The sequence below is a fragment of the Homo sapiens genome, chromosome 3 (assembly GCF_000001405.40).
Source record: "Homo sapiens chromosome 3, GRCh38.p14 Primary Assembly".
NCBI classification, from domain to species: domain Eukaryota; kingdom Metazoa; phylum Chordata; class Mammalia; order Primates; family Hominidae; genus Homo; species Homo sapiens.
In genome coordinates, this window is record NC_000003.12 from 3,061,556 (window position 1) to 3,073,837 (window position 12,282).

Here is a 12,282-nt window from a genome sequence, read left to right on the forward strand (position 1 = left end):
AAATATAGATGCAATTACATGTGATATCCCCATTCTCTGTAAACTGGGTTTTTGCCACATATCCTTATTGTTAGGAATAACACGAACTATACCAGGAAATATATATGTCCTAGGACTTTAACAAATAGTAATATCTTTAATTTGTTTTTCTAGTTTTCAAAGTGCTTTTCACACTAATAAGGGGAGGACATAGGTTTTTATTCCTTTTTTATTTATGAAATGGAAGCAAAGAGGTTATATAAGAAGCCCAAAGTAACATAGACAATTAGAAAGTCAGGGCTGGGCATGGTGGCTCACACCTGTAATCCCAGCACTTTGGGAGACTGAGGTGGGGGGATCACAAGGTCAAGAGTTCGAGACCAGCCTGGCCAACATGGTGAAACCCCATTCCTACTAAAAATACAAAAATTAGCTGGGCATGGTGGCACGTGCTTGTAGTCCCAGTTACCCAGGAGGCTGAGGCAGGAGGATTGCTTGAACCTGGGAGGCAGAGGTTGTAGTGAGCTGAGATTGCCCTACTGCACTCTAGCCTGGGCAAGAGAGTGAGACTCTGTCTCAAACAAAAGAAAAAAAAAAAAAGAAGGACTAGAATTTAGAACATAGACTCATTAGTGCATTTCATACACCTAGAAATAAGTACTTAGAGAAAGGACAGGATGGAGTAAGGAACTAGACTCTGAAGTTCAACTAGAGAACATTCTAGGACAAGTAGGTAGGCCAGAGGAAATGGTGAGGTAGAAGGGTGAGATGTCTGAGGTTCAGATGCTGGAGGTGGAGAAGTTCTGAGTGCCGGCCAGGCCCAGGGCACAGCCATCTGGAGGAATGGGATAGGATAGGTGCCTGGAGAGGGTTTTAGTTATTCAGCAAGGGACTACTGGCAGCCCTCTCTGTACCAGGCACTATTCTGGGCATAGAAGAATGATGTGGCATTCAGATGTGTGTGAGGAAGCCAAGGCACCAGTAACAGTATTTTGTCACAATACAGAGAAATGCAATGATAATAATAATAGTAAACAGTGATTATGCTTATAATATGTGCCAGACTCAGTGCAAATCAACCTACCGATTTAGTTACCATTTATTATTCCTATTTTATACACAGAGGATTGAGGTTGACAGGTTCACATTTGTCCCTGATCACACAGTTGATCAGAGAGACCAGGAATTGAAATGCTGGTGGCTTGGGTTTAGGGCCCTACTCCAAAACATTAGATGTCTCTATCTGTAAATAGATGATACATAAACAATAAGGTAGGTAGATAGATAAATAGACAGATAGATACGGTTCCCATATAGCAACAAGAAGGAAAGGCAGTCATGAGCTTCAGTCTGCTCTAAAGTGGCTCAGCTTCTCTGCTTCTCTTTCCTTGACTGCAAATGTTGTTTTTTGCGTGTTCGTTGTCCTTGACTTCAGGTGTCTTAGAGCTGTTTCTTTAAACTCCGGCTACCCTTCAAGATCAGGATTACCCAATAAAATAGGAGAGGAGCTATTAAACTTAGATTTCAGATAAAAAAAAAATTATGCTTCCTTAGTATAAGTATGCCCCATGTGATATTTATTTGAAATTCAACTTTAACTGAGCCTCTTATTTTTATTTGCTAAATCTGGCAACCTGACACCAGGAGGTCTTCATTACTCTCATTGAAGTAATTAATTTGTAATTCAAAATTTCAGGGTCTTGCGAATGTGTTGTCAGATCTCTGAAGGTCAATGGCTCTGAGGGCGAGACATGAAGTTTGCTGTTTTGAGTTCTGTTTCGTTTGCTGAACTCTCCTTCCCACTTTTCCTTGGATGGTGTGAGGATGGGATGTGTGTGTGTCCAGAGAGACAGGGCTGGTGGGTGAAGTTCCTCTTAGAGCTGGCAGAAAAGAGGTTTTGTTTTTTTTTTGTTTGTTTTTTGAGACGGAATTTTGCTCTTGTTGCCCAGGATAGAGTGCAATGGCGCAATCTCGGCTCACTGCAACCTCCGCCTCCCGGGTTCAAGTGATTCTCCTGCCTCAGCGTCCTGAGTAGCTGGGATTACAAGCATGCGCCGCCACGCCTGGCTAATTTTGTATTTTTAGTAGAGACGGGTTTCTCCATGTTGGTCAGGCTGGTCTCGAACCCCTGATCTCAGGTGATCCACCCACCTTGGCTTCTCAAAGTGCTGAGATGACAGGCGTGAGGCACCGCACCCAGCCCAGAAAAGAGTTTTAAGACAAGGGAATCTTTCCCCAGCAAAGGCCCACATTATGTGGCAAGAAGGTGTTAAAGCAGGTGGAAGGGATTCCAGAAATATTCTGAAAGCTTAAAAAAATGGGTTTGTTGCCAGGAACATAGGCCACAGCACAGCTCGTTGGAAAACTATGTAGTGGACGCATCGTTTATCAACTGCAGTGTTGGGACCAAATATCCGAGACCAAATAACTGGCAGTTAGAATTGGCCCAGTTGTTCCTCTTGAATTTAGTGGTTAACAAATAAGATATTGAGTGCATACTATGTGTCAAGCACTTGCTGGGCACTGGAGAAACTGAGATAAATAGGGTTAAGGCTTCCCTCATGGTTCACTGAAGGAGACAGAAATACACTTATTGAAGGATGGTGTGAATAGTGTGACAGATAAAGGTATGAACACAATGCTGGACCTGTGTTTCTTGCAAAACCTACTTATAATGAGGTTAAGTTCAGTCAAACACAATTTTTTTTACCATTGATCCCCCAGGATAGAATATTTTCATTTGATTAAACATGATTATTTTCCCAAATTGGTTGCTTTTCTTAAAAAAAAGAAAAACACATTCATAAATATTTTGAATCCATTAAGCCATGTGTCAATATTGGCCCTCTGGGAAAATCTAGCTCATTGCCCGCTTTTTTTGTAAATCAAGATTTATTGCAACATAGCCATGCTGATTTATAGATTGCCTACGGCCACTCTGTGCTATCACGGAAGAACTGAGTGGCTGCCACAAAGACCATATGGTCCTCAAAGCTGAAAATATTTACTATCTAGCCCTTTAAGAAGAGTTTGCTGGCTCGTGCCTGTAATTCCAACACTTTGGGAGGCCAAGGGCTGGATGATCACTTGAGCCCAGTAGTTCAAGACCAGCCTGGGCAACATGGGAGACCCTGTGTCTACAAAAAAATTTTATAAATTAGCTGGGCATGGTGGCACACCCATGTGGTCCCAGCTACGCGAGAGGCTGAGGTGGGAGGATCATTTGAGCCCGGGAGGTCGAGGCTGGAGTGAACGGTGATCACAGCACTGCACTCCAGCCTTTCCAGCCTGGGTGAGACAGGAGACCCTGTCTTAAAAAAAAAAAAAAAAAGGCAGCAGCAGCTTGCCGACCTTTAAACTACGACACCAGTACTTTATTGCTGATTTCGTTCTTGCAATTTTCCCCTCAGGTTTCTGTGTTCTTCCAGTTTATTACTTGGCAGGGACAAATCTTTGCTTTTAATTTTAATAAATGAAACAAACCTAATAAAACACCTTCAAGTTGAAAAGAGTCCGCTAGAACTTTAAAATCATGCACATGGGCCATATGGGCGGCTTTGTGTTGCTCCTGACAACCAACAACGCAGATGTCTACTGAGAGCCAAATGGTGGGTGATGCCGGCCGCGGAGGTGGAGGGCAGCGTTTCTGAGACCAGCATCACACCCACTGTGAGTTTTTACTACTTCATTAATTTAAGCTCCAGTGACGATTTAACTTCTGCTATAACCACACAGCTTTAATAAATGAACCTACCATTAGAACATAGTTCTTTAGAATCTATATTGTTTTCCGTTCTTTTAAATGTTTAATAAGCTCACTTCCTTTTCCTTCGTCTGGTTACTCAACCAGCAGTCAGTTCCTCCTTGGGGCTTATGGACACAAAGATAAGTCAGACACTGCTCTTGGCCTCAGAGTGTTTGCACTGGAAACGAGACAGAGCATTGGTGAGGAGTCCAGGCCAGGTGCGGTGGCTCACGCCTGTCATCCCAGCACTTTGGGAGGCCGAGGCGGGTGGATCACGAGGTCAGGAGATCGAGACCATCCTGGCCAACATGGTGAAAACCCGTCTCTGCTAAAAATATAAAAATTAGCTGGCTGTGGTGGCACGTGCCTGTAGGCCCAGCTACTGGGGAGGCTGAGGCAGGAGAATGGCTTGAGACCCGGAGGCGGCGATTGCAGTGAACCGAGATCTCGCCACCGCACTCCAGCCTGGGCGACAGAGTCAGACTCTGTCTCAAAATAAATAAATAAATGAAAGTCCAATCACTGATAGAATTAAACAAAAGGAACATAGAGGGACACTTAATTCAAACTGGAAGTTGAGCAAAGATTTTCAGGTGGCAAAGAGCCGAGACTTAGAAGATAAATCAAAATGTCAACAAAATGAAAAGAGGTTGAAAAGGCTTTTTCCACCAGAGAAAGTTTCGGCAGAGGCATGGAGTGATGCAGTAGCATGGAGCTACAGGGAAATCATCAGCACATTGGTGAGAATGGAGGTAGGAGTATTTGGGTATGTGCCTGGAGAGCTAGTAAGGAGCTGAGTCATAGTGGACTTTGCCTTAAAAGGAGCTTTAACTTGAAGGTGATGGGGAGTTATATAGGCAGATGTGCCTTTTACATTGATCCTTCAAAGGGAGGAAATACTGGAGGCCATGAGTTCAGTTCAGAGGCTACTGTAATAGTCCTAGCTGAGAGATGGAGGAAGACAATGGTGGGGACAGAGAAGGGGAATATTTAGGGGAAAAATGAGAAAGGTACCCACCCCTCTTTAATTGCAGACTTAGACAATTCACTGTCATTTATGTTTAATATTTCTCATTCTGAAACATATTTATATTCACATCTATTACCTACAAAACAGGAGATAAGCATGATTGTCTTATAGTACAATACAAAATTCCAAAGGAAGGAATGGTTTTGAAAAAATTTGCACCCTGGTACTCAATTTGAAGGATGTAGAAGCAGGAATAGCTACAGTCCTTAGGCTAGCACCAAGTCCTATTCTAATTAGGTTTTTCACCTTTACTTGTGCCATCAGAGATTGTTTTCAGTTCTCTGTTCTCACTTCCAGATATCTACTTTTTCTTTAACAAATTAGCACCTCAGGCTTCTTAATTCCACCAGCAGATGGTCCTGACACATAGAAGTCTCACCATGAAAACGTTTGGATTTTTAATCAGGATGTTCTTTGCCCACGTGGATTCTTCCCCAGCCTGCATGAATAGCTTGAGGTCTGAGGCATTTCAATGAGGCTCAGGTGGTCGGGCTGTTGGCAAATGTGACCTTCACCCTCCAGTCTCCCCAGCACTCCCCCATGCTGCACGCAGTGAATTCCAAATGCCAAGGAAAGAAATTGGGCTAAAAATCCCTATTGGAACGGATATCTTGGAAAAGCATGTTTGTTCTGATCCCGTGGCTGTGGAGGCTCTAGGAGAAAAGTGACTCTCTACACTCGTCCTAGTGAGAGATGGCAAGAGATGGGAGCCAATATCATGACTTTACCTTACATCAACCTGCTGCTGATGGTGTTTACTGTTAAGTGAATTTCAAACTCTTTGACTTGCTATGACAAGGCTGGTGAGAACAGTATAGACCACTCACAGTGAGCCACTTCTGAAATGCCTCTTACACAGCAATTTATACATAACCATTTAGACACTTTGGCAGCAAAAACATCCAGGTTGCAGTAGCCCAGTTGTTAGGCACATGTGTCTCCTGGTTGCTTCTAACTAACCGCATTCTCATTAGATACCCAGCTTCCTCCCCCTGTCATTATTGTAGGCCTTGAGGATCTCTGCCAAATACTGTTCAGTCTAACCTATATACAAGGTGCCGTATCAGGGCTGACAGAGGGTTTAAGAAACATTTATATTTTCTTAAGTCAGATACTGTCCTAGACACTGCAGATAAAAAGACGTATTTCACACAAGCTCCATCCTCCTGGAAGCCGCAGTCTAGAGGGGAGGCCTCCCAGCTGTTAATGGTATATTCTACAATGCAGTAGCTCTAACACGGGTATGAGGCCCAGAATGAGAATCCAGAGGCGGGATCAACCAACTCTGCTTTTGAAGGCTTCATGGAGGAAGTGATGATGGTTACGGGTTCCCAAAGAATGACTATGAGTTGCACAGGGCAAGAAGGGAGGAAGGAGTTCCCAATCCACCAAGGAGGCCAATGGGCTACTTTGTGTTGCTCCTGAAACACATATACCAAGGGCCAGATAACGGTACCAGCTCAGGGAAGTGTGGCAAGGAGCTCCACAGAGCCCAGGTGATCTATGGCTGCTGAGTGGAGGGAGGAGTCTGAAGTGGGCACCACACCAAGCACTGAAGAGCTGGCCACATTTGTGGAGGGGGAGCTCCCTGCTTCTGTTCCTGCCTCCTAAGCAGAGGCAGTTTCCACAATGCCAACTGTCTGGGTTGTGGTTTGAAAGAGATCAGACAGGGTGCTCCAAGCCGCCCCAAAAGGACAGTTTTCTGGGGACAGGACTTTTCTGTCACATCTTCCTTCAGCGGCTGATTTTCAAATTTTGGTATTCATAAGACTCTCCTGGAGCAGCAGTTCTCCGAGTGTGTCCTGGAGACCAGCAGCATGAGCATCACCTGAGAACTTGTTAGAAACGCAGCTTTTCAGACCTCACCCAGACCTATTCAGTTAGAGACTCTAAGAATGGAGCCCACTCCTCTGTGTCTTAAGGAGCCCTCCAGGCGCCTCTGATTCTGACCTAAGGTGTTCATTACAAATACAGTTTCCTGGCCAGGAATGGTGGTTCATGCCTGTAATCCCAGTACTTTGGAAGGCTGAGGCCGGTGTATCGCTTGAGCCCAGGAGTTCGAGATGAACCTAGACAGCATGGCAAAACCCCAGCTTTACAAAAAAAAATACAAAAAAGAGCTGGGAATGGTGTTATGCACCTGTAGTCCCAGCTACTTGGGAGGGTGAGGGAGGAGGATGGCTTGAGCCCAGGACAGGGAGGTTGTAGTGAGCTAAGATCACATCACTACACTCTAGCCTGGGAGACAGAACAAGACTGTCTCCACCACCCACCCCACAAAAAAAAAAAAAAAAAAAAACAAAAACAGGTTTGAGATTATGAATCATTTGAGTGACCAAACATTTTAAACATTTTGCCAACTATTGCAGCACCTCCATGGGTGTTGCCTTCTCAGCCACACCCCTAAGCAGGCCTCAGCTTTCCCTGACACTCCTCTGCACATTTCTGGGGTCACTTTTACCTGAGCCTGGTATTCAACTCCTCACTATGCCATTTCCTATCAACTTCTCTGAACCTTAGTAACTGCAACTATAAAATGGGACAGTAATACAGATTACTATAAGACAGTGCAGGCTTGTCAAGATTCAAGATGTTTCTGTGCCTATTACCCAGGGTTCAACCCTCTGCTAGTTACAGTGGATAATTACAGGTTAGTTAAGAAAACAAACAAACCTGGAAATATATGGTAGTCAGTGTGTCCCCACCGATGGATCAAAACTGACTAAAACACCTCCAGAAAGCATTTAAAGAGTGTGCCAGGTGGGGATTCTGGGCACTGTTACCTCCTTTCTAGGCCTTCAGCTTCTTGACCAAGGGCCATGTGGAATCAGCACTGTTTGGGTTCCTTCCTCTTGCCCACCTCTGCCCAGGGCACACCTGTGCTTGGTTCCACCTGCAGTCCACCACCCACCACAAAGGCCTCCAATCTGGATGCAGACTCATATATGAAGATGTTAGGAAGAAGAATTTCTGTGTATATTGGGATATTTGATGGAATGGCCTTGTAGAAACTTTTCCAAACTTGAGAGACTAGGATTGATCTGGCATTACTTGACCAACAAGTTGTTCTGAAGTCTTTGGCAGCAAACATCTCTTCAGAAAGTTCATTCTTGATTCAGTGGTCCCTTTCATGATTGAATTATGCTCAATGACTTCCTCAGCACATTTCCAGAATATTAAGGCTTCCTTCAAGAATATAATATTTGAACAAAATCTGTCGTCTCTTTTGATATGGGGTGATATATTAGCTCTATTATGCTTTTAAATTAGTTGGTTTCAAATGATGTATCCTGGATCAGGCCTCTGGAGCTTGAGATAATTTCTCTCTCTCTCTCTCTCTCTCTCTCTCTCATACACACACATACACAATCTACCTAGAAAAAGATCATTCTAGAATGTAGGGGGGTGAGGAATTTGTGGCTCTCACTTGCTATAGAAAAGACAGTCTTGAATCCAAGTTCATGGTTCACTCCAGGCTGATGCAAAATGCTTTCTTCCTCAGATGGTAGCTGAGTGCTACAATTGGCAGCTTAAACAGCCAAACGGGCACAGCCAGAAGTAAATACAGCTGGACGTTAGCCTTAAAAGCTGTCTGTTGTGAATGAAAAGTCTGAGGTGAGTCAAGCAAATTGCAAAGATTGGCAGGTGAGGAGGTGCTACCCTGTACGGCATGGGGAGAAAAAACATGGCAAAATGCTTGGATGAGTCAACTTCCCTGCTGTAGGTGAGGCGATTTGGATGAAGCATCCATACTTTTAAGAGATACAAGACTGGTGTGTCTGGGTGTATTGCTTCGCAGGTAAATTGAGTGTTGCCTAAATTCTGAACACCTCTTAGCCAAGAGCCAGCATCCCTGTTCTTTTCACTGAGGCACTGAGGCATGTGTGAGTTCATCAGAGGATGCCAAAGTGACAGTCAAAACACAGAATCCTCCAGGGTCTCAACTCCAGGCTTCTCTATATAACAGATGACTTCAATTTCCGTCTCACTGGACCCAGCTTTCTGCAAAACAAATCATCTTTCCTTAGATGTCTTTTAGAGAACTTTTGGGTTCTTTGAAATCTTTACAATTGGCTTTAAGTCTATTATTTTTTAAATAAAAATAGTAAATGTTCACAAAGAAGATGTGAAAAATAAAGTGGGAAGAAGAAGAAAATACCTAGCCATACATCTATCTCCCAAACACAGCCCACTGCTTCTCCTAAGCCTTTCTTTCTAGGCATAATGTTTTCTTTAGACTTACTTGAAGTCATATGGATACACATCTTTTTTTTTTTTTTTTTTTTTTTTTAGACAGAGTCTCACTCTTGTCACCCTGGCTGGAGTACAGTGGCATGATGTCGGCTCACTGCAACCTCCACCTCCCAGGTTCAAGTGATTCTCCTGCCTCAGCCTCCCAAGTAGCTGGGACTACAAGTACACACCACCATGCCCGGCTAATTTTTGTATTTTTAGTAGAAACGGGGTTTCACCATGTTGGCCAGGCTGGTCTCGAACTCTTGACCTTGTGATCCCCCCGCCTCGGCCTCCCAAAATGCTGGGATTACAGGCATGAGCCACCACGCCCGGCCGGATACACATCTTTAAAAATTGATTTTTTTCTCTCTGACATCACTGATTGTAAATTACATTGTTAAATGTGCTTTGGCGGCATCACTTTTGATAGCTTCATCATATTCCTTCCATAATTTACTACAGTATCCCCCTAACTTTGGACAGTTCTGACCCATTTTGGCTATAATGAATAGTGCTGATAATAATTGGAAAATTGGTAACAAAAAATAAAATTGCCTGTAAGAGATCCTATTCCTTTATCTCATTTACTCATCCAAAATATTTTTTACTATCTGCTCCACACTAGCCACAGTGCCGTGTCTCGGGAATTCACTGATGCACACAGCAGGCATGGCTCCTGCCTTTATCCATTTTACTGTTAATAGTTTACGGGCAACCTAATTGGAGGAGGAACCCTCTCTTGGCCATTGTAGAAACAAGGAACAGCTGGAAACCAGTCTCATAAATTGAAAGCTCAGGCCAGGTGGCGTGGCTCATGCCTGTAATCCCAACACTTTGGGAGGCTGAAGCAGGCGCATAGCTTGAGCCCAGGAGTTGGAGACCAGCCTGGTGAGATCTTGTCTCTATAAAAATTGTCTAAATAAGTAAATTATCAGAAAATTCAGGATATGCTTTTTTAGAATAAGCCTTTCTTTTTGACTGCTAAAGGCCAACTTTCTTCCTTCACAGTGTGTGTGTGTGTGTGTGTGTGTGTGTGTGTGTGTGTGTGTGTATTTTTTTTTTTTGGCAAGTTCTGGCTACATCACCCAAGCTGCAGTGCAGTGGCACAATCTCAGCTCACTGCAACCTCCGCCTCCTGGGCTCAAGCCATCTTCCCACCTCAGCCTCCCGAGTATCTGAGGCTACAGGTGTGCACCACCGTGCCTGAGTAATTTTTGTATTTTTTGCAGAGATGGGGTTTTGCCATGTTGGCCAGGCTGGTTTCAAACTTGTGAGGTCAAATGATCTGCCCATTTTGGCCTCTCAAAGTGCTGGGATTACAGGTATGAGCCACTGTGACCGGCCCTTCACTGACGTCCAAATTTCTAACTGAGGTCTGAACAAGCAAAAACTTGCTTCTAGGGTGGCAGAGCTCCTCTAAGTCCTGGGACTTTGGGCACCCACCCCAAGCTCAGAGGTGCACATTACCATGAAAAGCAGAGGGTTTCCTTTCCCACTAGCCAAACATTTCCCAGTGGCCACTGCCCATAGCACCAATGTGCCCTCTTGTCACCCTTGTAGCACAGCCTCTGAGAATGGGTTGGATGGCTTTTGTCCTTGGACGTGGAGGCTGTGCACGGCCTCATGGGGCCCAGCTGTAGGCAGCTCTGCACTGGCTCTCATCCCCTCTCAGGTGGAGAATTTAGGCCATAGAGCCCACAGCACCAGGCAGTACTTCATTTCTCCCATTCTGTGTGCTCTTTCTTTCTTCTCTCAGTCTCTAACTGCTTTGTTTTTATGTGAAACTCTGCAATGTGAGAAGAGAATAAGTTGTCCTGAGAAGCCAGGCGCTGTGGAGTGCCGTCATTCATCCTCTGCTTATTCTGAAACCAGCTTGTCTGCCCCAAGTTGTTATTTTACACACATGACTTGATTTTAATTAACAACAAATCACAACCTTATACAATAAGCTTTTATACCAGTTTATTTCACCAACTTCGGAATATTAAAGGAAATCTTTTGGGGCTCTGTAGGGAAATTAGATACCAGCATTAAGATGTTCCATTAAGAGGCCAGGACAAATGACTTCAGTTGGCTGCTTAAACTAGATGTGGGCTGGGTGCAGTGGCTCATGCCTGTAATCCCAGCACTTTGGGAAGGCTGGATCACTTGAGGTCAGGAGTTCAAGACCAGCCTGGCCAACATGGCGTAACCCTGTCTCTACTAAAAATACAAAAATTAGCTGGGCGTGGTGGCGGGCACCTGTAATCCCAGCTATATGGGAGGCTGAGGCAGGAGAATCACTTAAACCCGGGAGGTGGAGGTTGCAGTGAGCCGAGATGGTTCCACTGCACTCCAGCTTGGGTGACAAAGCGAGACTCCATCTCAAACAAACAAAACCAGATGTGGTTACTCAGGGGTAAGTGTGCTAGAGCAAGGAGGGACTGGCAGCACACATCCAGAACAGGCACCAAAGCTCCACCCTGGGGCCCACTCTTCTTCCCAAAGAACTCAGTGAACAAGAGCAGATGGGCCATTCCCCTGATAAAGGAGAACACAAAGATCCAACCATGGGCAGAATGATTCTTTTGCCAGCCTCCATTCTCTACTTCAGTCAGCTAGTAACTGTAACTGTCTATAAATCCTTCCAATACCCAAACTGCAAATGCTAAGGAAAGTTCACCACTTATTGAAATTAATCATTTTGGTGAGTTTTTCCACGAACGCTTTCTTTTCCCTACAACCAGTCACCAGGTGGTTCATCCAATCATGAGTTACTTCATTTGAGAGAAACCTAAATTTGCTAAGAAAACTGTTTGATCTAAATCAAGGGTTGGCAAACTACAGCCGCGGGCCAAATCTGGCTTGTTGCCTGTTTTGGAAAATGAAGTTTTACTGGAGCACAGCCACGCTCATTCATTAGCACATTTTCTGTGGCTACTTTCACACTACAATGGCAGAGTTGAAGAGGTGAGACAGAAACCATTTGTCCCTCAAATATTTACTACCTGGCCCTTTACAGAAAAAGTTTCTTGAGCCCTGATCTAAATAACCGTTCACCTTAAGGATAAATTTGACAAAGTGCAATAATCATACACTGAAAAATCACAAACCATTGCTGAGAGAAGGTAAAGAAAACCTAAATAAATGGAGTGATATGCTATGTTTATAGATAAGACTTAGGATGTCACTTTTCCCCAAATTAACTGACAACTCAACACAATCTCACCCCAAATCCCAGCTACCTTTTTTTGTAGAAAATTGTCAGCTGAATCTAAGATGTATATGAAAATGCAGAGGACCTACAATAACC

General features: G+C 44.1%; 1 protein-coding gene across 5 annotated transcripts in view; it reads right to left on the reverse strand.

Annotated features, from left to right (window-relative positions):
- The window catches only part of IL5RA (interleukin 5 receptor subunit alpha), a 44,051-nt gene continuing 36,537 nt past the window's right edge, over positions 4,769 to 12,282 (reverse strand). For 3 of the 5 annotated variants that reach the window (NM_001243099.2, NM_175726.4, NM_000564.5), the window contains one exon: positions 4,769 to 8,756. In NM_001243099.2, coding sequence (NP_001230028.1) covers positions 8,711 to 8,756 — 46 coding nt within the window. In that variant the 3' untranslated portion in view covers positions 4,769 to 8,710. Of the gene's footprint in view, positions 8,757 to 12,214; positions 12,272 to 12,282 lie in introns of all 5 variants that reach the window. The other 2 variants (XM_011533677.2, XM_011533678.3) reach the window with 1 other exon arrangement.